Source organism: Homo sapiens, chromosome 12 (genome assembly GCF_000001405.40).
Source record: "Homo sapiens chromosome 12, GRCh38.p14 Primary Assembly".
Lineage (NCBI taxonomy): Eukaryota > Metazoa > Chordata > Mammalia > Primates > Hominidae > Homo > Homo sapiens.
Window position 1 is genome coordinate 85,012,365 of NC_000012.12, and position 26,008 is coordinate 85,038,372.

A 26,008-nucleotide genomic window follows, 5' to 3' on the forward strand; every position below is an offset into this window, starting at 1 on the left:
ATGAAAGTCCTGAGAGTGGTTGTCAAGTCCCGTCAAGACCTTTTACCCCTCTGAACCTTTCTCCATTCCTCCCCAGCCTCTTTACTAGGCACACTGCTTTTCTGCCTTTCTTTGAACTCAACATGCTCACAGCGCACTTTCCCCTTATTTTCTTGTCTCTATCAGTACTTTACTCAAAAGTCATTTTCTCAGTGAGGTTTTTTGTTTGTTTGTTTGTTTTTGTATATCCTGTATAGAACTGCAATCCCCACAATCCCCCATCTCCTGCTTATTCTACTTCCTCATTTTTTCTCTATAGCACTTCCTGCCATGACATTATGCCAACTTTATATTTTGTTGTTTGGTTTCCCTGACTTGAAGGTAACCTTCATGAGGGCAATGTTTTTTTAAATTTTTTTTATTTTGTTTTGTTTGATTCACTGCCATTTCCCTACCACTCGGTACAGTGCTGGACATATACTAGTTGCTGAATAAGTAATTGCTGAATTAATGACTTTTCTTTCAGAAGTGCTCTCTGAACCTCTAAGGCAAACTGGCATTCCCTCTCTTGGTGTCTATAAAAATTATTACATATATAAAATGTATTTGTTTTCATATCTGGCTGCATGACGGGACTCAAAGTTTAACGACAGGGACAGGGCCAGCTACTTACAAAGCTACTTACATGGGCCTCTTCTAAACGCAGGTTGCATGCCCCTAAAGTCAGCCCTGTATATCTTTTCATCTTCATATCCCAATAATTAGCAGTGTCACTGGTGAATGTATTATATGTTCTCCATAAATGCTTGTTGACTGAATGCATACATCCTTATCGAGAACAATTCTAAAATATTCTACTTACATAGTACCATCTCAATATAACCCTGATTTTTGAAACATAATTAAAATGGGGAGCCTGAAGCAAGTTAAATGTGTTTGTGTAAATGATACGACCATTTGAAGGGAAACTCAGAATTAGATGTTATCCTAGGTTCTAATTCACTGTTTCACTTCTGATCCAGATTAATTTTTAGGCCTTTCCAAATGTTCTATCTCAGATTTAAATAAAAAAACAAGATTAAGAAGAGAAACATGATTCTGATCTACTCTATTTCATTTTGCCAAATAAGTAGTTATTATATCCAAGGTATAAAGCAACTTCCTTCAAAACAATATTCCCTAGAATCATAAAGGTGATTGATTCAGTCAGTGGTGCATATAATTTTTGAATTAACTGTATTAACTATGAATAGGCAATCTACTATATACTTTTTTGATGTAAAATCAAATGATCTATAATAGTCATTTGATTAACAATAGTTTGGTTTTCAATTCCTAAGAGAGAGCTTTTTGCTATCAGTGTGATCCTGTGACATACTTTAGAGAAAACAGAAATTTGAAGATGAGTTTTAAATCCCAACAGAATATTTCCCAAAAAATAGAAGGTACATCTACTTGACATATCTAAACCTAAAGAAGGTTTCATTGAGGAAAATGGTTATTGTATTTTCTTTTGTGCTGACATTAAAAAGTCCATAAGTCTCTGAAATCTTCAATGTTCTAAATAGATGGATGAAAAGAGATATGAGTGAATTTGTAAATGAGAGAGAGCTTTCTATAGGAGTTGGAGCAATGCAGGATCTTCAGTTAATCTATCTTTTCTTCATGTCCTCAAGGTCAAGACAGCCTTTTGCTGTCATGAAGATTTAGTACAGATGTTAGTGTCATAAAATATTTTTCTTTTAAATGTCCTATAAAATCAGTATTGTTTTCTTAAGATTTGCAAATAAAAGGTACATGATATGATTGATTACTTAATTAGTATTTTCTGAACATCATATAGGTATTTTCTCTACAAAAGAAACTCAAAACATATGGTGATACTTTTGAATTTGGTATATATGATAGTACCCTTTAAATTCAGGTGAACTTCTGAACGGTAGAATTTAATATTTTGAAAAACAAAATTAATATAATTTCATGAATGTTTTATTATAGTATTCAGTAATTCAATATTACATATAATTAATAATTTGAATACATCTGTTATTTAATACAATTCAAAACGTTTTTGGAATAAAATAATATAATGTGATTTTTTAAGAATTAACTGGTTTCTTCTGAACAAATTGAAATCCAAAGGTCACATTTCTGCATGGATTATATTCTTGATGTTTTTGAAGAAACAAACTGTTAATGAGACTTGGAAAACCTGGAAGAAAAGGGAACAATAAGAGATTAAAATTTAATCAATGATAAGAGTAATTTGCAAAGTTAACAATATATAGTCACCAAAATGCGTATTGTAAAGGGAAAAGGGATCAAAACTGGTGAGAAAATTTCAGAATAAGGTACATACAGTTGTGAATAGGAAGTCTGCAAAATGAGTCTTCAAGAATAACCCACCTGTTACCAAGTTCACGTACAGAGGAGAATAAGGAAAAACCTTTAGGTTTTAATTACATTAGCTATCACTGAGCTACATGCCTGGACAAACTGCTGATGGTTTTCTTGTTGTTGTTGTTCGATATCTTTCTAACTATGTCATTAAATGTACAAAACTGCTTCTTTTTTTTATAGATAATGAAAGGTGGCTTGTAAAGGGCAGAAGATAAAATGGAACATGGATATTACCTCTGCAGTTTTGTCTTAAGATATTCCAGCATGAACACAGTAGAGAATAAACATTTAAAAACAATGATATTAATGTGTATAAAGAATGTCTTGGTTTACTACCATTCTGAGACTAAAATTGTTACCAATTGAAGAGATGAAAACTTAGGTCAGGGGCTTCATGGATCTATACAAAGTCAAATGCAGTATGTATTTGTTTTAGTGGCATAGTCCCCACTATAACACTCTATTTACTCTCAAAGTTTCTTTGAATCCATAGCCTGCACTTATTCTTAATAGTCTTCACTGAGACTGAAGAATAGCGTCTTGCTTCTGAAACTTAATTCTGCAGTTGACACCTTTAGGTCATGGAATGTGTCTATTTTGCATCTCATTGTATATTCAACATCTAGTACAGTACATGACACACAGTAAATGCTCCCCGTCCCTCCAAATACATTGAATGAATGAACATATGAGTGAATAGTGGATCTTACTAAAGTCAAACATCTGCCTAGATTTCAGAAGTCTGGCAACTTGCAGACTGCCCAACATGGTGCTCTTACTGCCAATATATGAACATATACACACACACACACACACACACACACACACACACACACACACACGTAAATATATCTATACATCAATAGATCTATTTATAGATATATATAGAAAGAAAGATAAAAATATACATAGGTACTATACATAGTAATAAAATCACTACCTCCAGGATGACCACTTATTAATAGGCTCCCCTGACCTGGCTGATTAAGGAATCACCTGTACAACTCTTGGATGTAAAGAGCCTCAAAGTCCTGGCTCTATTATATGAACTTATCTGATTAGGTCTCCACCTGATTGCTCTGCAGTCTATTCTGTATAGCTTATACTTAATATTTTTCATTTTAACATATGAACAAAAGCTTACCTCTGAAGTTAAAAGTCCAAAGTTAATTCCGATTAAGGTTAACACATTAACATTATACCATGCACTGATTTTATTTTCACAACCCTAAGAAAAAGAAGTTATTCAGATGGACATGGAGATGGAAATGATCTTATACATAAATCTTTACAAAAAATAAAAGGTAAACAGAGATTAGTAATTTACCAAAGTCTAAATAGTAAGTCAATATCTAATTGGCGAACTGGACTTTTAGTCCAGAAAGCTTTCTACGGCAGCAGGACACCTCAGTTGCTAATTTTAAAATTGCTAAGATGTTATCATGTAATTAAAATCAGAAATTTGTTACACTTTAGAAAGAGATTTTCTCTTCTGCAGACTATTGTAATTCATCAGGATACAGTAGTTTCCCTACTTACCCACCAGCAATACCCCCAGTGGAGGCCTGAAAACACAGACAGTATCAAACCCTAAATATATTACATGTCTTCCTATAGAAACATATATATAATAGAGTTTAATTTATAAATTAGGCACAACAAGAGATTAAAACAATAACTAATAATAAAATAGAACAATTATAACAATATGCCAGCATCACTATTCTTACACTTTGGGGTCATCATTAAGTAAATTAAGGGTTCTTGAACACAGGCACTGTGATACCTCAACAGTCGATCTTACAATGAAGATGACTACTAAGTGACTAAGGGTGGGTAGCATCTGCATCATGAATACACTGGACAAAGGGATGACTCATGTCCCAGGAGGGAACAGGGCAGGAAGACACAAGATTTCATCATACTACCCAGAACAGTGTGCAATTGAAAACTTATGAATTGTTTATTTCTGGAATTTTCCACTTAATATTTTCAATGGTTGAACTCTCACAATGTGAAACTGCAGATAGGGGCAACTACTGTATATATCACCACATAAAATGGTTATTTCCCAAAGAGTAGATGCTTTTTTTTAAAAAAAAAAAGTAATGTTCCATTTATTTATGAATTAATTATGCAATTGAAACAATACATCTTAAGATTAGAATAAGCTTAATATGTAAACTATACAAAGTATTCGCAGTTCTTAGGATGAAAAAATCTAGTTATCAGTATCCCACACCTGTAAATCGCAGTTGCTCCAGACAACCCTTTACTCTTGCTTCTGCTACACTTACTTGAACACCACATTCATCATTGCTGGGGTCCACTCCCTTTAGTTTTTGCCTATTCTTTTACTCCTGGTGTTTTAGCTCCCTTTCCAATCTTATGCACCAAGGCTTTGACAGAAGTGCCTCCTCTTTCTGCAGGACTTCTCAAGGAAGGCTGGGGAGAAAGACTGATGATATCCCAAGTTCCAAGAATACATAAATCATATACTCCCAGGAAATTTATTTACTTTACGTATTATACACTGGAAATGACACTACAATTTACCTAATTACGTGTTCAACTTAGGGAAGTGGATTAAGAATGTAGCCACCGTCAACAACATTATTTTTATATAAAAATTTGCTCAGAATTCTAAATTGACTTGCAAAATAAACAAACAAAATACTATAAATACTTGTAGAAGCCTAGATTTATCTTTACCTCAAGGTAAGTTGCATTCAGTGGCTCATCACAAAACCATTTTCTTAAAGTTGACTTTGTGCAAGAACATGGCACCTGTCCTGAATTTTCTTTGTTCTTATTCTTTATCCAGTCTGTGTAATTATGTTGGCCACAACACTGTAACTAGGAAAAAGCTTATATGAATTTTACCATAAAATGTTCAAAATGCAGTTAATTATATGAGATTAATATTGAAGTGGTTTTTGTGATGAAGATAACTCATTAATTTTTCCCCATGAACATGTAATGAATTAAATAAGTATATCTGTGCTTGTTTAATTCATTACTTTGTTTCTGCTATTATTGTTGTCAGCCATAGATAAAGATCTCTGCTCACATTAGTGGCTTGTGGTTGGATAGAATTATTACATCTGAATTTTATCCAGGATAGAAGATATACTTGATATGCTTATGTATAAATGATGCTTAGGACCATAATATAAAACAATCACTGGAGCCATATCTTGCTCCCAACTGTAGCAGTTCTCTTTGTATTTAAAGAATATGCAGTCATAACTGTTTGGTATACCTAAAAAGAGATGCAGGGTAATATCTACTTTTCTAGGATTAATGTGAGATGTTAACTTTCAATTTTGTATTGTGTGAAAATTACCACAAAGAACCAAAATAAGATAATAAAAATAGTCATAAAATGATCCAACTTTTAAGAAATGTCTCATTTGTAGTGCTGATTCTGGAATCCTATCAAGCAGAGTTAGGAGGATATGAAAGAATCTGTTTACATATTTGTCACTTAGGAAATAAGAGAAAGGTGAAGTAATTGTTTTCTAAACTTTTATGGAAAATGATAACATTAGTACTGCCTATGTTTACAATATATACCAACAATCTACGACAATTCTAGGAAATGCTGACGACTAAAATATTGATTGAGAGTTAGGTTACTGAAAGTTAGTTTAAACAAACAAACCTACATATATTATCTCAGTTATATTAATGGCTAGGAATTGAAAGCTGGAATTTCACTAATAGTAGTGATATGATAGACAGAATTGTTTCCTCATCATTTTCTGCCCATAGGAAGGTTCACTTCTCTGCTGTAAGTTGTAATGCAGTTTGAAAATACAATACATGTACGGATCACATACATAAGAGAAAAAGACAATGAGTAAAAGTATTTGTAATTACATTTCAATTCTCTTAAAATGTATTTCCGTTATCATATGTACTATAAATAAAACCTATTTTTTTATGTGAGGCATATAATATAGCAGTAAAAAGTACAGAATCTAGTGCCAGATTGTGTGGGTTTGAATCTTGGCTCTGCCACTTATTAGCTGCGCAATCCTCATTAAATTACTAAATTTCTCAGTTTTTCATCTATAAAATGAGGATAACAGTTCCTATGTTATAGGGTTGGGAGGACTGAATTAGCTAATATATGCAAAGCACTTACAAAAAAGTCTGGGACTATGTAAATGTTTGGTATTTTTTTAATTGGGCACTTATTATATTCCAGGTGCTGATCTATTTCTGTAAACCATTTAGCCGACAATACCCTTCTCTTACCCTTCCACTGCACCTGTCTGGAAAAATCTGCACTGTGAAATAATAATCTTTAAAAATTAGCTAAAAAGTGTTAGTTGCATTTATGCCCTGGATCCAAGCCTTTCTATATATAGCCTTTCTATAATATATAGAATATCTATATATTACTTCATTTATTCCTGCCAACCAGAGTTAGAGGTTAGTATGCCCACTTTACGAATGTGGAACTTGGAGTTTAAGAGGGTTACTTGTCCAGAACCACAAAGCTATTGCACAGCAATCCTGGTATTCAGACTCAAATGGTAACCACAATGCTGCCAGCAGAGACTACTGCTTAAACTTATCTCCCATCAGGTGCAGCAGGATAGACTATCCCACTTGGCAAAAGACCAGCAGCACTTTTCCAGGTGAAACTAAGTTAAAATGCACATCCATTAACACAGAAAAGAAGATAGGAGTTACAAAAGGAGGATATAAATCAAGATTTGTAAGTGTGGAGAATGCCCTTTTTGCCCAGTTTGTTTGAAAGAAATACAACAAACTTTCATCCATCTGCCCCATCCCCTGCCCTGACCTATTCTCTCTTCTGTCCCACAGTGGTCAATACTGACATCTAATTTTTTAGTTAATTTCATCTTACTGTTTTCTGTAAGGCATTCAGAATAGTCCACTTGGTTATATCTTCAGGCTTATCTTTAGATCCATACTCAGAAATGACAAAATCAATTTTGTCATGCCATAGTTGCTGAACCTGTAGAAAATTGTATTAAAAATGAAAATTTCATAGGAATGTATCCATAAAAATTTCATAGAAATTGATGGTTCCTCAAGAGTACCATCATGAAAAGAATATTCAATATTATTTTTCTGTTTTCTGTTTATTTCTTTTTAAAATAACTTTTTAACACTTTCAGTGGATATCAAATCATATGGTTTTTCAATTCATAATCTATAGGAAGAATATATTAGGCTCATTTTACAATTAAGGAAGAAGTAATGTGCTATTCTCATGCATATCTAAGGGAGATTTCTTCTCATACTCTCAGGAAAAAAACTGTAAAAGTATTTTATATAAGCCAAAAAAGTTTGTTGAGTGTCTTTTCAATGGACACTAGGCTTTTTCTGGCAAACTTCAACATTCCTTGATTCTGTGGGGGTTTGTACTGTACTTTTCATGGTTTATAATTTATTTTACAACTTTAGAAGTTGTAGAAAACTATAGTTATGCAAGTTATACTTGGTCAGACAAATGTACATTTTTCTCGGTGAAGGTATATTTAATTCCTTCTCTCTCCAAGCCTGTTTTGCGTCTATTAAGTGATGGCCTATATAAATGTCTTCTTTGGATTCTCCTTTGAATTAGTTTTCTATCATACTGGTTCCCTCATTAATTAAGATGTTAAATAAAATAATTGACTTTTGAAATCTACTGTATATTTCTACAAAAGTTATGATTTTTAAATTTTAAATATTATCCTTTCATAGTACTATCAGGGCTCAGAATACAACAGCTCCAAAATATAGCACCTTGGTATGTGAGTATTTTAAGCTCAAGGAAATTGAGAAAACTGCAGAAGCAGGAAGGTCACTTTCTGACCTTCTCCTGCCTTTCTCCCATGAGGCAGGTCATAATAGAATTCTCTGACCCATTTCCCCTGAAGGTATAGCATCAGATCCTCATTCCAGAGGGGTCCTGTCCTATATGCAGAAGCCAAGAAGCATCTGAACAGACAAGCCTTGCTAAATTTCCCCTAGTTTATTACCATTAGATTATATGCTTTTGTCCTCCAATCACACTTTCACATGACTGTCCACAAAAATAGATTTCCTTGGATCTTTATTTTTTGGTCTTTATTTTTTGGAGTCTTTATTTTTTGGTTAAGTAAATTTGTTATGCTTTTCATTTGTTAGTTTGTCTTTTGTTATAGGGATCTCAGCCAAGAGCCTTGTGATGAATGAGATATAACTTTTTCTCTCCAATACTAACACAAAAATGATCAGATTTGGATGGGGATAAACAAAACTCTGCAATTTCAAAAATCTAGGTAATGCAAAGGTAGAACGATTGTCGTAGTAACTTAAGCATTTACAAATTTATATAATTTTTTATAACAAATTACTAATTTGGTCCTCAATAATACCAAAAGGTAGGAAGAATAGATATTATTACTGTTTTATGAATGGAATACAGACACTCAGAGAATTTAATTATTTACTTTTGTTTACAAGGAGCTGAGACTTTTAAATATAATCATTTGAATACTAGTCTTAAGGATTTTTACTGAATTATGCTGTCTTTGACAATAAAAACTAAGTAACTGGTGGGAATATCACAGTAATTATAAAAGGCATGTAAGCTAAAATCTTACTTAGTTACTTATATATCTGTATTTTAATACATTTAAGAAGATTAGAATAATGAAAAGGAGATTTTAGATCTACTTTATACTCTGTTCATTTTTATTTAGAATAAATAAGATATATAGTGCTGTTGAGAGTGTGTTGGGGGTGAAACATATGGCCTCGTTTTGTTTCTAAAACATTATTTGGGAGATCCAGAATGCATATAAATGACAATTTCATACATAAGTACTTTCCTATGTAACCTATGTGACTAATGTATAAATAAAATTCCCTTATGCTTACTCAAATTTGGTAAGCATCTATGAAAGGCCTAGTTTATCTTCCACACTGAGTTAGGTACTGTAAATGGCATAAAAGATTTAGAGGCTTTTAAGAACTTAATCCAGTTTGAATGCAGAAGACAAATTGATGTAAACAAAGCTGTTAGCTCTGGGGTCAGCTAATGAGTATTTGAGTCTAGGCTCTGTCATTTGGCCATGAAATACTTTAACAAGCATTTCTCATCTCAAAGCCTCAGTTTTCTCTTCTATAAAGTAGGACTTACAGTGCTTCTTTAGGGGTTGCTATGAGGATTAATAATACAATGCCTATAGTGTTTATCACAGTCTCTGGCACATGGTAGTTATTAATCAGTTCTTATTTCTAATATATAGAGAGATACAGGAGTGTGTGCATAACATTGAAGCAAATATGGGTGACTGATAAACTATATTTACATATTGATAGCTCTTATGTGTCATATTTATGTTCTATAATGAGGTTGAAAAGTTTGAGGATGATAGATTGGGATTTGGTGTTTTGCCAGCAAAGCAGCTTTCCAAAACTTACCTGCTGCAGCTAACATACCTTTAAAACTCACACACACACAAACACACGCACACACACACACACATACATTTTAGATGTGGAGAAAAGTAATTTTAGTTCTAAATGCCAGGCCATTAACAGTAGGCACTGGATGATGAGCTGTCCAGTAAAGAATGAAGTTGGAGGGCAATGGTATCATACAGAAAAGATTGTTTTTGAACTTTGGCCATTACAGAAGAGTATAGATAGATATAAAGAAAATCTAGGAACCATATAAATTAATCAGGAGATCCTTCAAGATTAATTAAGGCGAGGTAAGAGAACTCTTGAGTAGCTACTTTACAACTGAAACTTGATAAATTGTCAGTTAATGACAACTCTGTAAGGTAGGTAGGTATTAATTATATTTTACAGATAAGGACATTATATTTTACAGATACAGCAACAACTTGCTGTAAAGCAAGTTGGTGATCCCTAACCATATTCATATCTGTATGACTTCAAGTACATGTTCATTTTACTATAGGACAATTAATCTTCCGTGATATAAGACAGACCTTGACTGAACTGAAATACTGAAATGTCCTAAAGGATTAAAAGTAACTGTAGGTTGTAATAGGTAAGTTTTGTTGATCAAAAGTTTTTTCAGGCTTATTATATGCTTTTTTGAACTAAATTTGATAAACCTAAATCTTGCTCTAATTAATCACTCATCACTCTACCTGTGGAAAATATAGGAATTATTCAGTATGTCTTGTTTAAGTGAAATTGCTAAATTTCAAATTAGTTAGAGTCTAAATTTGTTTCTTTGCAAAAACATAATACAGTGATTGGGTCAGTAGTGGTAGTCAGAGTTGGTAAGAGGAGAAGGTAAAAATTTGAACTCCTAAATCTCAGTACCACCTCCTCTTCCTCAATACTGTTTGATATTTAAAGCTACTTTCTAATCATATGCAAACAGAGTTAAAGGCAAGTTCCCCTATCTACCCTTTTCAATGTGACTCCTGGCCCCTTCCTATACTCTAGTACTTTTGTTAAATATTATTTTCCCCTAAAGAAATTTACCTTTGGCTTTTAATATAGGATCAATGGTCTCAATACTCTAAGGTATCCAATTTCCTTTAAACTTCAAATAACAGGATGTATTGAAAAGGATTTACTTTCCATACCTCCTCTTTCTTTGTGATGATGAATGCTGAAAGTACAACCTGAACAGCAAAGGTCCATGTTATCAATACTGCATACTAAAACAAAAGAAAAATAGAGATGATGACTATGCTACTAATATATGTTTTGTATGCTCAAATAATGGGAAAACACACACCATTGGAAATATGCAACCATAAAGTATATATGGGTATTGCTGAGGCTTCCTGCCTTCACAAATATGAATGAAATTAGTGAAATAGCAAGGCAAAGTAAAAAACAAATGAACATTTGGATAAGAGCAAGAGAGAAAGAAGTGATAGTAATTAATGAGCACCTTGGTCCAATAGAGTTGTCGATGATGCCATCTTAATTCAGTTCTAAAGCTATTATAGGGTGAATTTAATTATCTTCACCTCACATTATTTTGCTAAAACTAAAGACTCACTAAATTTCTGATGTACTATTTAAACTTATGCAGAAAGTAGAACGTATAACAAAAGCAACTGCAATAATAAACTTAATTCTTTACGTATACTTGGGCTATTTCCTGAAAACTGAAAATACTTGTATCCAAACCAAATAAAATAATTTTTACATTTATTAGACTATTTAATTTTTTTTTAAATGGCCAATTTAGTCTTCTTCATCATAGCTGTTGTCCACCTAAAAAAAAGGCACAAAAGAAAATTATCTCTAAATATGTTGAGTTATTCAAGAATAAGAAATAAAGATTATAGTCCAGATTGCATGAAATGGTAAACTACCAGTTCATTCTGTGAGGAGAGGGTAGAGAGAAGCATTTAGTAGCAAAATGGGCGAGATTTACATAAACTACTTAGAAACAGAGTTTATTGGTTCTAAAGATTGAAAGCCAGAGTTGTTGCCAGTTCACTGGTAGAGATGTCATTACTGGTCAAGTGCTCTTCCAAGAACATCTTATCTGAATTACTGCAGTCCTAAGGAATATCTAGCCATAAACCTTATAAAAGCAGGAGATGACTGAAGACAGTCTCTAGCTGGGAGTTTTCAGAAAGTCCTTAGAAACAGTATTTATTTCAGACACGTAAGCATGAGCCTCCTCTCCTTTAGGCTTTCCTGGCTCTATTTTGTCTGGGTCTGACAAAAGTGATTTCCTGCTGGTAACTGCAACTTTTACACAGCACATATTAATATATAAGATTTAGAATTTGGCTGGGCACAGTGGCTCATGGCTGTTAATCCCAGCACGTTGGGAGGCCAAGATGGGCAGATCACTTTAGATCAGGAGTTCAAGACCAGCCTGGCCCACATGGTGAAATCCCTCTCTACTAAAAATACAAAAATTAGCCAGGCATGGTGGCTCGCACCTGTAATTCCAGCTACTTCGGAATCTGAGGCAGGAGAATCGCTTGAATCCGGGAGGTGGAGGTTGCAGTGAGCCGAGATCGTGCCACTGCACTCCAGCCTAGTGACAGAGCGAGACTCCACCTCAAAAAAAAAAAAAAAAGATTTAGAATTCATAATAATTTTAAAAGTAAGCGGTCTGAATATTTACTAGGCAAAATATAAGTACTAATGATTTACTGTATTATTTATTTACTTTTTACTTGACCCTCAGAGATAAAAATTATTTAATTACACATATTTTATACATCTAATACTTTAAAATATCTGACCAAAATTTTCTTCTTGAGATAAGTTATGTTTCCTAGTTTCAGAGAAAAAAAAATTCAGAGACAAAAATGTAATCTTTACATCTATTTAGATGTTTAGATTTTTAACTTCTACATGCAATATCTCACTTAATCTTATACTAATAAGGGATTGGTAGAGGCAGGAAAAATTATATGAAACCTTTTTTTTTTTTTTGAGATGGAGTCTCACTCTGTGGCCCAGGCTGGAGTGCAGTGGCACCATCTCAGCTCTCTGCAACCTTCGCCTCCCAGGTTCAAGCGATTCTCGTTCCTCAGCCTCCCTAGTAGCTGGGATTACCAGTGCCCACCACCACACCAGGCTGATTTTTGTATTTTTAATAGAGATGGGGTTTCACCATGGTGGCCAGGCTGGTCTCCAACTACTGGCTGGTCTCAGGTGATCTGCCCACCTTGGCCTCCCAAATGGTTGGGATTACAGGCGTGAGCCACCACACCCGGCATATGAAACAATTTTTAAAATTACTGGGTATCTTAGATTAGAGTAGGAGTATGTTAAATCACCTTTAAGACATGGAATAGCTTTTTTTGTTGGGGGGGAGGTGGGGGATGGAGTTTCACTCTTCTTGCCCAGGCTGGAGTGCAATGGTGTGATCTTGGCTCACTGCAACCTCCGCCTCCCAGGTTCAAGCGATTCTCCTGCCTCAGCCTTCCAAGTAGCTGGGATTACAGGCACCTGCCATCATGCCCGGCTAATTTTTTGTATTTTTAGTAGAGATGGGGTTTCCCCATGTTGGCCAGGATGGTCTTGATCTCTTGACCTCGTGATCTGCCTGCCTTGGCCTCCCAAAGTGCTGGGATTACAGGCGTGAGCACCGCACCTGGCCCAAGACATGGAATAGCTTTTAGGCCTATAATATTTGCCCATAAGTTGACTGTGTGAATTAATTTGGTTCAGAGAAAGATATATTCATCAGAAAAATATTGGTAAATTCAGAGGAGAATAGCAAAAGTGTCACAATGGCCAAATTAGCAATACCCTTCCATGGAATGTCTAAAAGGAATGGTAGTATCTTGGTTCCAGGCCCTAATCTGTCAGATCCTATGTTCATGTATATCCTTATGATGGCGTCTATCAGGCTTTCTCATTCAGATGCCATTAATGCTTGAATTATATGAGGCAGAAACTTAGGAAATGTTTGTTTTACTCCCTCTACTTTCCCCCTTCATTTCCTATCCCCTGCCCACTACATTGTATAAGTAGTAGACTCTGCATTTCCTTTGCCTATATGGAAATTTGTGACAAGAAGAAAAAAATCAAGGTTTTCTTGCAAGCCATTTCTGTTCTGGTTTTTATATCCAAAATCTGAAGCTCAGTGAGAAAATTATGCTAAGGATCCTGGAAAGAGAGAAAGATAAGATTTGAGAAGAGAGGGTTGGCCTTGGAGGAGAATAAGAAGAAAGAATAAAGTCTCTTCTTAGACTAAAAAGATTTTGAGGTGGAATCTGGAAGTCTGTGGGTTTCCAGAGCAACAGAGCATAGTCCTTGGAATCCTGGCACTGCCCTGGTAAGGTGGTAAAACCCCAGAAGGAAATCAGGGTCCATACCTAAAATGCCTGTGCCAGGGTAATATTCAAATAGTAGTAGAAATTACTATTAATAGGAAGCAACTGATTCCTATGCCAGGTGTACCTCCCAATTGCTGTGTCACTGGGGAGGTCTGACTGCCTCAGGGAAGGAAGACTGAAGGAATGGAACTGAGGTACTGGTTATTTACCAATATTTCACAAAAGGGTTTCACTGATATGCCTGTATGGGTAAATACTAGATGAATAGCAGCCCTACCTTTGGCACTCATGGCCATTCAAAGAGCAGAGTGAGTAGACCTGAAGGGACCATGTGAGCTGGGAAAGTGAGTGTGTTTGTGGTAACTGGCATAGACTGATAACTAGTGTCCAGGGTGACTACCCAGACTTTCAGTGCTCCATAAAAGCTGAGTATCTCTGCATTCTTCCTGGTAAGGGACAAAATGACAGCAGCTGAACTTCCCATCTGCTTGGCTGCAATTAAAATCAATTTGATTTAGAGAAAAATGTAAAGGCTATATTTCATCTGAGTGTGTGAATTGTGATCCATAACTGCCACATGTATGGTAATTGGCTCATGTCCAAGTCAGTACTCTGGAATATAATTTGCCTTTTCACGTTACAAGCCTCGAGAGAAACAGTGGGCAACCAGATGCTAGAGTCTGCCTCTTTCAGTAATTATAGTTCTCTTTTAAAAATAACAATTTGTGATCTCAATTATAAGTTACCTTTCATGGCAATGGTAGACACTATTATTAAAGAGGGGAGGAAAAGAGTGGGGCAAAGGTTGAAAAGTAACTGCTGGGTACTATGCTCACTCATTAGCTGGGTGACAGGATCAATCGAATTCCAAACCTCAGCATCGTGCAATATACCCATGTAACAAACTTGCACATGTACCCTGAATATACAATAGAAGTTGAAATTATAAAAAAATACATACATACATAAGTTACCTTTCCGCGTGCCATGCCCACAGAGAGAAAAATGTGCTGACTATAGATCATGTTTCTTTTTCCCTGGTAAGCTACATTCCTCATTGACTTGAATACACTTTATTCTAATTCTAGCCTTCAGATTCTTAAGTTTGGTGAATTGTAGTTCACCCTAGGAGATGGAGAGTCCTATTGACTCTGTGTTGAAAATTAAATGTCCAAATGTGCTGAGGTACAGATTCAATTCATAGAAAACGCACTAAGAAAATCCTGTCAGGAAAAGTGACTTTGTTGGAGGGAGGAGGGTGTGCTTCATTTGAATTACTCTAAGGACATACTCTACTGCAGTGCCATGCTAATATAAATCAGTATTCATTTGTGTAACTTAGATACTTAAAAATCTAAGACAAAAATTCAAACTATTGACATGAAATACGTACCACAATTAGGAGCCATCTGATTTCGTTGTGAATTCCTATATAACCCAATAGACAAAAAAGAACAGTAGAAGATCCCATTCCAATCAAAATTTGAGAAATAGGTACTATGAAGTGATTATTTTCATCTGTGAAAAGTACAAATTTACTTATTATGAAGTGGTATTTTATATGAAGTGGTATTTTATTTATTTTCTATTTAAGAATAATTGCAGCAATCAAAAGTTTTTCTGAGCAGCTGTTGCCAAACCACTAGGATTCTCTGTCTCTCTCTGTCTCTCAATTTTTGACCTCATGTACCAGCTCTTACTTTTAGAAACAACCTTTCTTCCTTTTCTGACATGAAGAGAATTTCTTAAATTTCAGAAGATCGCTTTACCCTTATCCTCCTTGTCTTCTATGATAGAATAAATTTTTTTCTAAGATTTCATCTATGTCCAATGTATATTCAAACATTCATGTATTCATTCATTCATCAAAAATCTTTAGAACTTAATATGTGTGAGTTAGATGTATACACCCTGAATTTATTGCTAATATGATCCCTTTCAAACTATATTTTATTTTTCCCCATCTAGACTGTGAGCCCTCAGTGCTAGAGATTATATATATTTATCCAGTCAACAGGCTGACTGTTGAATGCTTGGTGCTATGGCACAAACAGCAGAACAATAAATGCTCAACAAATAATTGTTTTAAAAAAGAAGGACGGATAAATAAATTAAACATGTGGGAGGTGTTATGGGAGAACAGTGTAGGCAGTAGTGTGCTGGAGTGAGCTTGTACTGGCTCATAAAAGCCAATTGTGATATTTTCAGGAAATCTGCAAACCAACTGAATTCACTTTGACACCTTGAAATTGGCCATTGAGGAGCTGTTTAAACCATGGAAATGGGCAGATGTCATAAATCAATATTCTCTATTCCAGAACTGGTTGTTAAACGTTTGCCGGCATACTACTGGGAACAGAGGCACCTAAACCAGTTGGGGGAGAAGGTTAGAAGGTTTGGGCAAGGCTGCTGGAAAAGGTAACATCTGAGCATAGGCTTTATTGGTCATTGTAAATAACCAGGTTGGAATGGTGGAGCATTTCTGAGACATCCAGCAGCACAGGGTGTGTAAGAAACTCAGCTTTGTTGGCACTTACAGTTTGAGTCAGATGAGACTAAAAATGTTTGCAAGGATGACATTATAGGCACTTTGTTTTTCAGTCTTCTTCACTGAAATAAAGCTCCATGTGGATAGGAACTTTATTTTGTTTGCTCACTACCATATCCTCAGCTCTTAGGGCAATGACTGACACAGAGAAGATGCTTAGTAATATTTGCTGTACGAGTAAATAGTGGCAATGGGGAGTCACATAAGCTTTTAATAGGAAAGTTACATGGTTAAAATTGCATTTTTAAATTTTCTTTTTAAAGTGACAACTAATAATTGTACATATTCATGGGTGTTGTTTTGATACATACAATATATATAGTGATCAGATCAGAGTAATTAGCATGTCCGGTCATCTCAAATATGTATCATTTTTGTGTGTTGGGAATATTCAATATTCTTCTAGCTATTTGTGACTATGTAATACATTATTGTTAACTACAGTCATCCTACAGTAGTATAGAACACCAGAACTTTTTTCTTCTACCTAGCTGTAATTTTGTATCCTTTAAAAAATCTCTACAACTGATGAAGACTTTCAGAAGGAATGCTGGACACTTAATAAATTACAGAGAAATACTGCCACCTGCTGAATAAATTGTGTATACAACTGTTAAAAATTGAATGTCTATTTCACTGAGAGAAAAACAAAAATAGATACATACCAAAAGCTGTTAAAAAATTATTTCTATCTAATAAGAGCCATGCACCAAATCCCATGAATAAAAGTCCAAGAACCTAAAAAAAGAAAGTCAATGCTTATTTTTTTGTAATTGCCTATACAATAGATTACATTTTCTTTACTGTATAATTATGAAGATTCTTACCAAGAAAGCTCCATTAATGAGATTAAGAAAGTACTTAATAATTATTGTTTTGTTATTTCTTAACATTCTTTTTCTTCCAAGATATTGATGATTCTGAAAAGACAACCATAACTTTTTAAACATTCTACACAACAACTTTAAATATTTCTCCCTACTTATGTTCTTTATTTGCACATTTTTCTTCTCAAATCAATTATCAGTATAACATACTTCCATCTCTAAATGAAAGGATTTATTGAAGGTATCTTGAAACTGTACCTTGCCTGCATTTTCTTTTTACTAGAGAGTATCTGTACTTAAAATAATAAATATATATCTGCAATGCTTTGACTAGGCAATCAAGAGTAAGAAGACATTTGTATAACAAGTCAAGTAGCCTTACTGAATTTCTTGCAGTTTCAAAAAGTATAAGATATTTTGTTTTCCATCTTACTGTATTTTTAAATTTTTATTTTAATCCTAACCATTAGATAGCCAGGAACATTTCCAGTCTTAATATACCTTGTTCCCTTGGCTGGAAAGTTTTCCTCACTTCTGCATGCCCTTCCCCTTTCTCAGAATAATATTAGCTCCTCACTGAGGTGTTGGTTTGGGGATCTTTCTCTTAACCCAATTTGTTGCCTCTCAAATTTCTCATTGACCTGTCTTCTTCCCCACAGAGAGTCAGGGGTATTTAAGTGGCGAGAGTATGTCTTATATACCATTGTAACCTCCAGGTTTAGCACACAGCAGGTACTTGATATATATTTGTTGAATGCATGAATAGATAGATGAATTAAATTACTTAATCTATAATTTAGTTTAGTATGCAGTATATAAAAAAACTAAAGTAGCTTTCATTAAAACTTATTTTCCAGGTAGTCAATTTTCCTAAAACTTTCATGGAAAAATCAATACCTACTCCATTGGTTTTTGGTGCTGGTTTCATTAGAGATGAAAGTTTCAAATCTAATCTTGAGTATGTTCCCAGATTTTCTCTTTTCTCTTCTCACTGTTTTAATTCTAACTAGCACTATAATTTTAAACATACTGTAGTTTACAATGTTTTAATATATGTAGCGCATGATTGACATGATAGAAGCAGATTTAATAAGATTATTTTAAAGCTATTTGTCTGTCCCTAATTAGGCAGAAAGCAATTTGTTTATTGAACTGAAGGATCCTTTGAAAAGTGGAAAAAAAAGAGATGTCTACATTAGTCTATGTACTACCTTCCCTACTTTATCGTAAACCATCTTCCTCGTAAAATCTCCCAGTGTTCTTCTCAGTTTACGGAGTCACTACAGGTTATATCTTCTACCTATGCTTTGAATTCTCTTGCTGTCATTTGTTTTTTCTACTTTCCATCCTATTGTCTTATTCTTTAATTCCTCTAATGCCTGGCATGTTTTGATGGGACGCTCAGTTGGAAAGACTGCATGATTTTTATTTCAGTTTATTTCAAAGATGCTATAAATCTACATTTTTGGTTCCAATTCTATTTACTACCACATGTGAAAAGCTCTCTCACAGCCTGAACGAGAAGATAGGCACAAGGTCTTGGCCCCTGTCTGTGAAGAAGAAAGAGAATGGATACTAATGAACCAGAAAGCTCTGTGGTAACTCTGATGTGAAATGTTGAAGGCATGGACTTGAGTGTTGATGTGGTAATAATTAGCATGTTAGGCAGGGTCAAGCTGCAATACTTTATCAAAGGACCCAAATATAGAAGTAAACTTTTATTTATCTCAGTTCAAAGTAGGTGATTGGTTCACTTCTAGAAAATCATGTTAGAAACTTGGAGCTAACTCTGGCCTGTTCAACATGTGGCTTCCAAATTGGCTCCAGGTGCCATCTTTTATAGCTAACAGAAAGGGAAGGGGATGAGTAAACTCAGGCAGGCATCTTTTAAGCAAGTGAGGTTGAAGTTGTACACTTCTCTTCCATTTAGAGTCCACCAGCACAGACTTGGTCCCACAGCAATACTCAGCTCCAGTTGAAGGCAACCATGTACCCAGGATAAAGAAAAGAAAATAGGGTGGTGAGGGCCAAACAAAATGCCCACTGGTCAGAAAAGGCCAATTACAGAAGATAATTAGAAAAAAAAGAGAGCTTGGATTAAGCTTTAATATGCTTTACTGTGGAAAAGAATCAAAGACAATCAGAAAGATTCATGTAGGATGGGAAAATAAAAGAATAATGGTAATCACTGGAAATTTAAAAATTCAGGAAAATGGTTTAGAAGAAAAATTCATAAATTCAATATTTCATGATTAAATTTGAATTGGTAAAGAATATCTGTGGGTTATGTCTCATAAGGACTATAAATGGAGTGCAGATAAATGGGTAGCATAGGCTGTACAGACTTGAAAGTCATTCATAGAGAACCAGTGTCATGGGTGTGAATGAAAGAGAAGAGGGACTGTCTATAGATGGAAATGGGCAGAGGTTTGATGGTAGAGAATGAAATGATACAATTAAGAATTTGGAATTTTTAAAGCTGACTTTTACAGACTGAGAAGACAATCAAGGCATGATCTCATGGAAACCAATAGAGAAAGACAGTTCTAGATCATGGTGTCATATCATGGTGTTACATGGTATAGAAGTCAAAAGGGGTGAGAACTTAGTAAGCGCAAATGTAGGCAACGTGGTAAGGAAGATGTTTATGGTAATTTCAAAACTGTGGTTCAAGGTTACAAAGTTAAAACACAACAAACTGTGCATCCAAGCAACGATTCAAAGAAGCCCATGACTATGTTTACAAAGAATGGTAAAATGAGATGTTCATGTGTTGGCTTTTTCAGCCATAAGCTCCACATACTGGAAACAACGTCAATGAGAACAATGACGTGCCAACACAAAGATACACAGTAAGTTAAGTGTAGTTCTTATTTAAATATTTGTAGTGTGAAAGATCTATATTTTCTTTTGCTATAAACAAAGAATTTGTTTCTAACTTAATTAAATAAGGTCCTGGTGTGGCATTTATTTTGTTCAGTTCCTGATTAGTTAATTGATGTTGAAAGCTCAACAGCAGAGATGCTATAGGAATGGACAACTTACAATAATTAATCTATTCATAGGTATTATTTTGCACTAGTTTAATAAACTCTAATTGCTTCTTGTTATTGTTTTTATATTCTAAGTTCCAAGAGATGGGAACACACAAATGAACAAGTAAGAGAATGTCAAGGAGTCAAATATTAAAACCTGAATTATGTGTTGAGGTGGGGACAGGAAATAAAGGAAACAGGAAAGTTTCATAGAGAAGATGATTTTGAGATGACTCTTGAAGGAAGATTAAGAAGGTCCTAGTTAGATAAAAATGGGAGAGAGATAGGAAATATTCAAGACAGAGGGAACACTATGTTCAGAAGCTTTATAATGAGGTGTAAGGAGGCATGGATCAGAGTGGCAAGAGATGAAAGATAAGCTAAAGAAGTAGACTCAGTAAAGATTGTGACAAATCTTATATGCTTTACTAAAGATTTTTTTTTTCCTGAAGGTAATAGGGAGTCGTAATTCTGGCCTCAATGTGGAAGCCAAATTAGAAAAGACACTTAAGATAGGGGGATAATTTATAAATGGCTGTGGGAATGGAAACAGTATCACAATATGAGAGATGTAGTAGGAAGTAGAATTGCCAGCATTGGGATAACCAAAGAATCAAAGATGGAATGTAGTCTGTAGAAATGATGTAATTAAACTTTGAACATTATCTCATATTCTACATTGTCTCATTTAAATTGATTCCCTTTATCGTCGATATTTTGCAAATGCTATTATCCCCAATATCATCAATGAGGAGAGAAAGACTCAGCAAGGCAAAATTACTTGCCAAAGGTCACTTAGTTAATAAATGGCAGAGATGAGATTTAACTCCATTGATATAAACCACCCTCTCAATAACTTTCCCAAGCCCCAGTATCATCATCTGTAAATGCAGATTGTAATAGTACATGCCTCAAAGAGATGTTGTGAAAATTAGATGAGATTATGTTTGTAAAGCTCTTAGCCCAGTGCCTGGCTAGATGTTAGTTATCTCGTTATATCATAAGGCTAGAATCTCGTTATATCATATCTCAGTATAGAAATATTAAGATTATACAAGAGTCATGCATGTGAGAATGGGGAATGGGATGGAAACTGTGGGAAAGTCATAAATTCTCATTTTTCTGTGAAGTGGTTGGTCATGACAGCAGCTGGGAGGGAGCACAAAGAGAGTTAGAGAATCTGAAGGCTTGAGACACACTTTAAGTGGAACAAGAGAATGAGAGGCCTAAGAATACAATATGTGGTACTATGAGCTACATAGTAAATTACTTTTACTCAATAATTACGGTGCCTCAAGAAAATGAAACAAAGAAATACCTGCTCTGCAACTATTTTGAACACAACAATGATATTATGGGATATTTAAATTATATCACTGCCATATGAAGAATAAAGCAGTTGTTGAAAAATGCTCTTAAACTAAAATGATTTCACTACAACACATTTTCAAAGGAATATTAGTCTTGTCAGATAACAAAGAACAAACAGTTATCTCTCATTCTTTCATTCTCTCAATAAATATTTATTATGTACTCTCTAAAGGAAATATGCATTGTTAAGCCAATATGCTATAAATCAACCACACCTACAAATTGTTTTTAAAATTTAAATGAAATGAAGTTAACATGTTCAAAAGAAACAAAAGTCTACTCAGGTTAAAGAGTCATAGGCAAACCAACATACTCAATCTGAAGTTACCGTTTCTAGGAATAATGCAATTAAAATGGACTTCTGCTAAATACTACATGGTTGATAAACAACAGTGTCAAGTTAAATTTACTTATAATCTACAAATGTATTAGATAACTGCTGCCTTTTATTTTTGATTAGTTATATTCTAGCGAAATTATGACTAATTGATAAAGTTGTCCTTTCTTCCAAAGTAAAAAATCGCATGACAATATAGGAGATCTATCACCATGAATTAATTTATCTTCAGAAAATCTTTCACTGTTTTTCTTTTTTGCTGTCAATATTTGACAAAGTAAGCTTTGAGAAGGAAAGGAACTAAGGCATTATTTCCAAAATTATTTGATTATGAAAACTAGTTATTCAAAATTAATTTTGAAATTATTAAAGGATTTATAATTTTTAGAAGTCTGGATAGTTTCACAATCAAAAATAAAACTAATCTTAAGATTCTTATGTGAACTTCAACACAATATGAAAGTCTATTTTAAATGAACAGTTTGAGGTTCGAACACAGTAGCTCATACCTATAATCCCAGTGCTTTGGGAGGCCAAGGCGGGAGGATTACTTGAGTACAAGAGTTGGAGGCTACAGTGAGCAATAATTGTACCACTGCACTCCAGCCTGGGCAACAGAGGGAGACCCTGTCTCTAAAAAAACAATAAAAAATAGATAATTTCAATAGTCTATAAATCAGCAATAAAACCAAACTTAAAAAAAAGAACAAATTCCATTTGAGCATGGACTTTGATAATGAAAATACTCTGAATTTAATTAGACCTGAAACCAAGTGTAGTTTATTTTTTAAAATCATCTTTCCTGAAAAGGAAACTAACATGTGTGCTTTTAATATGAGAAATCTATTAACGTCTCACTTTATATTATTAGTTCTTATGTTGATGCAATTCAAGTTTATTGTTACCAGGAAATGTAGTCTATTTTTTTTCCAGAGGCTCAGTGAAATATTTGCTTTTAGCTTATTTTATAGCAGATACCTTTTACAATTATGGCTACTTCCTTTTAGAATTTAATGCCTTATTTGCAAACTTTAAAAGAAAATTAAAGTAAAAAATATGTTATTAATTAAAATATTATTTTGTACCCTATGTATTTGCTCCACAAAAAACTTTAATAAATTAAGTTAAAATTAAATAGCATGACATAAACTTAGAAATTAAGGTTTTATATTGAAATACTGTGTGACAATATTTTTACAGTAAAATAACTCCAGAAAATAATTTTTCAAATTTCTCACCCACATCCCTTCAGTTAGAGGTTTTTGATGGGCATTGATTGATGATTTTTTTCTTTTTTCCTTTTTCTTTTCTTTTCTTTTTTAAAAAACTGTTGTCATGGAAGGCAAACAACTTATTGACTTCTCTTCCATACTTCTATGTCCCACAAATCACTGTTCAGGATTAAGGGTTTGTGGAATGAACACCTTATACATGGGCAAATCACCAGATGGAAATATAAATATATGTAGCTCAGAAACAATTTAAAAAATTTAAAAGTGAGATTACATCTACTTGGGTAATTATAACAAAATTTCATTTTATTAAGTATTTTCCAAAGTTACTTAAATATTAAAATCTACCTGTAAAAAACCGTAAGCTCCTCATCCAGTCCCTGAAATGCTGCGTTCGTTTCAATTTAGAATCGAGATTGTTTGTCCTTCTAGAGCACCTGTAGGGAAAAACCGGTGTCTCTTCCTTGTGATTGGCTGTTGCCATGGATACGCTTTGTGTAGCGGCTATGGGCGCTGTCTTACAACAAAGCCAAGGAATCTCGCTGCTGAGGGGTGAGCCGGGGTCTTAAGACTGGGATTCCCGTTGAGGGAGGTGAACAGCTGTGGGAGCTCAGGCCGAGCCGGGACTCTCTCTGCCTGGCCAGACTTCCAGCAAAGGGAGAGACCGCGGGTCAGGGGATGGCTGTGCGACTCTGCGAAGCTCGAGGCTCCCTTCCACCCTGGAGATTTCGAGAACTCATTCAAAACTTAAAGAGATGTCTTGGCTATGTAGGGATCATTCGATGGTTACTCACTCACCGCTCCCCACAAACCAATTGACGTTATTTTCCTTCCTTCCTTCCCTTCTTGTCGCCCTCCTTTCCACCCTTTCTTTTTCTGTCTCTCTTTCTTTCTTTTTTTTTTGGTAATATATAATTTATATGAACCTTATAAAGTAGATTTCTCTCCCCTTTCTTTACAGGGGTTGAAGGGGGAGTTCCTTAAGCTTTTCTACTTTTGACAGCTTTAGTGAACTCCAAGTGATTCGTTATCAACTTAGAGCACTTTAATGTAGCCCATTTACAGTGAGACCCATCCATGACTGCACGTCATATACAGTAACCACTAACTGCAGGTGGCTACTGAGGACTTGAAATGCAGCTAATCCTAACTGAGATGTGCTGCAGGTGTAAAACACACAACAGATTTCTAAGAATTACTGTCCAAAGAAAGAATATAAACTCTTTGCAATGATATTAATAATTAATTTTGTTATTACACGTTGAAATATTTTGGATATATTGGGTTAAATAAAATATATTATAAAAATTAATTGCACTTCTCTTTTGTTTTTAAAAAGTTGCTAATAGAAAATTTAAACTTGCGTAAGTGCTCAAATATGTAATTGGACAGGGGTGATCTAATGAGCCAGTAGATGAACAGAGAAAGTCATGTAAAGGAAATGACTCTTACCTCCACCATACTCTCCTGCCTCTCTTTCTATATAAAGTTTAGTATACCCGTGCATTTTGCTTTGTAGGCATAAAAAAAAAATCTAGCTTTCCTTCTAATAAAGCTTTTTAAATGCACTTTGAGTTCCATTGCAGGATAATATTTTGCCCTGGTTCTGTCTGGAGTTCCATTTCACTTTGTTTTTCTTTTCTTTTCTTTCTTTTCCTTTTTTTATTTTATTTTTTATTTTTGAGTGAGTGAGTGAGGGTGGAAGTTATGGGTAGAACTGATTTTGAGATGATTGAGTAGAGTGAAAGGAGGAATTAACGAAAGGGAAAGAGGATGGAAAGAAGGAATGAAGAAAAGAACAAGAAGACAGGTGGAAAGGTCAGGCCCTTGAGTAAAGAAAGAAAGGTTTAAACTAGTGTCATGAAAAATAAAATGATAGCTGACTAGTACGTTTTCAAACCTTTTTTGGGACTAAGACCAACAGTGAAAAATAAAAAACAGAACATTAACAACAACACATATTACATTGCAACTCATGCATACATACCTACATTTATATGTATTAATAACTGAAACAAAAATTTTATAAACAATTCTGATCTTTATTATATATAGTAAAATTATATAAACATATAAATCAATAAGAGTATTAGCGTACAATTACAGTTGATCATTTTGTAGTCAAAGTTTAAAAAGAATGATTGAAGAGATAAAACAATGTTTGGTGTAACCATAATAAGGTGTGATAAAAGTTTGTTAAATTAAAACATATTTAAATAAATATGTTGGATTGGTATGACAAATTAGAGAACACATAATTTTTAGTGACATATTAGCCTCTTCATTTTTTAAAGCAGTTCTGTGCTTTATTATGAAGAATAATGGACGATGATGATGCAAAGCTCAAAGCAGAAATAGAAGCTGAATTGGATAAACTCAGCATTTCCTCCTTGGAAAAAGAAGACATTGAGAGTGATGCAAAATCAGAAACCCAGAGTGATGATAGTGATACAGTGAGTATTGCACTTTTGAGCCTTTTAACAGGAGTAGGCTTTTCAGGAGAAATATTACTTTTCT

At 34.3% G+C, this 26,008-nt stretch overlaps 2 protein-coding genes across 28 annotated transcripts in view, besides 1 other annotated feature; one reads left to right on the forward strand and one right to left on the reverse strand.

Moving 5' to 3' along the window:
- Window positions 1-1,952: 1,952 nt before the first annotated feature.
- On the reverse strand, window positions 1,953-23,913 carry TSPAN19 (tetraspanin 19). Of its 6 annotated transcripts, none has more exons than XM_017018863.3 (9): window positions 23,840-23,913; window positions 17,517-17,609; window positions 17,355-17,427; window positions 15,535-15,659; window positions 10,962-11,036; window positions 7,262-7,372; window positions 5,092-5,229; window positions 3,524-3,607; window positions 1,953-2,191 (listed from the first exon to the last, which is right to left on the reverse strand). In XM_017018863.3, the coding sequence occupies exons 2-9, from the start codon at window positions 17,580-17,582 to the stop codon at window positions 2,123-2,125; spliced, it is 741 nt and encodes a 246-aa protein (XP_016874352.1). In that variant the 5' UTR covers window positions 17,583-17,609; window positions 23,840-23,913; the 3' UTR covers window positions 1,953-2,122. The 6 variants fall into 6 exon arrangements, with proteins under 6 accessions (XP_016874352.1, NP_001094387.1, XP_005268726.1 ...); NM_001100917.2 differs by having other exon boundaries at window positions 5,092-5,235; XM_005268669.5 differs by lacking the exon at window positions 23,840-23,913 and adding an exon at window positions 22,769-22,892 and having other exon boundaries at window positions 5,092-5,235.
- Window positions 4,066-4,360: an enhancer, noted in NCBI's record as "tiled region #14945; K562 Activating non-DNase unmatched - State 24:Quies, and HepG2 Activating non-DNase unmatched - State 9:DNaseU". NCBI's record gives its function as "activates a minimal TATA promoter and a strong SV40 promoter by Sharpr-MPRA in K562 cells, with weaker activation in HepG2 cells {active_cell/tissue: HepG2 | K562}" and the evidence as "EXISTENCE:reporter gene assay evidence [ECO:0000049][PMID:27701403]".
- Window positions 23,914-23,986: 73 nt separating the features above from the next.
- The window catches only part of LRRIQ1 (leucine rich repeats and IQ motif containing 1), a 236,455-nt gene continuing 234,433 nt past the window's right edge, over window positions 23,987-26,008 (forward strand). For 18 of the 22 annotated variants that reach the window (XR_944764.3, XR_944765.3, XR_944766.3 and 15 more), the window contains exons 1-2: window positions 23,987-24,043; window positions 25,786-25,944. Coding sequence is in view for 18 of the 22 variants with exons in the window: in XM_011538819.4 (XP_011537121.1) it covers window positions 25,813-25,944 (132 nt within the window). In the remaining 4 variants the exon portion in view is untranslated. The remainder of the gene's footprint in view (window positions 24,044-25,785; window positions 25,945-26,008) is intronic. The other 4 variants (NM_001079910.2, XM_047429652.1, XM_047429656.1 and 1 more) reach the window with 1 other exon arrangement.

Excerpts from the sequence above, each read along its gene's own strand:
- TSPAN19 (NM_001100917.2), bottom strand. The coding sequence starts at position 17,582 with ATGTTAAGAAATAACAAAACAATAATTATTAAGTACTTTCTTAATCTC. Across the intron at positions 5,236-7,261 it reads TGAATGCCTTACAGAAAACA|TTACAGTGTTGTGGCCAACA; the intron begins GTAAGATGAAAT and ends GCTTTTTCCTAG. Across the intron at positions 2,192-3,523 it reads TTGGACTTTTAACTTCAGAG|GTTTTCCAAGTCTCATTAAC; the intron begins GTAAGCTTTTGT and ends CTTTTCTTCCAG.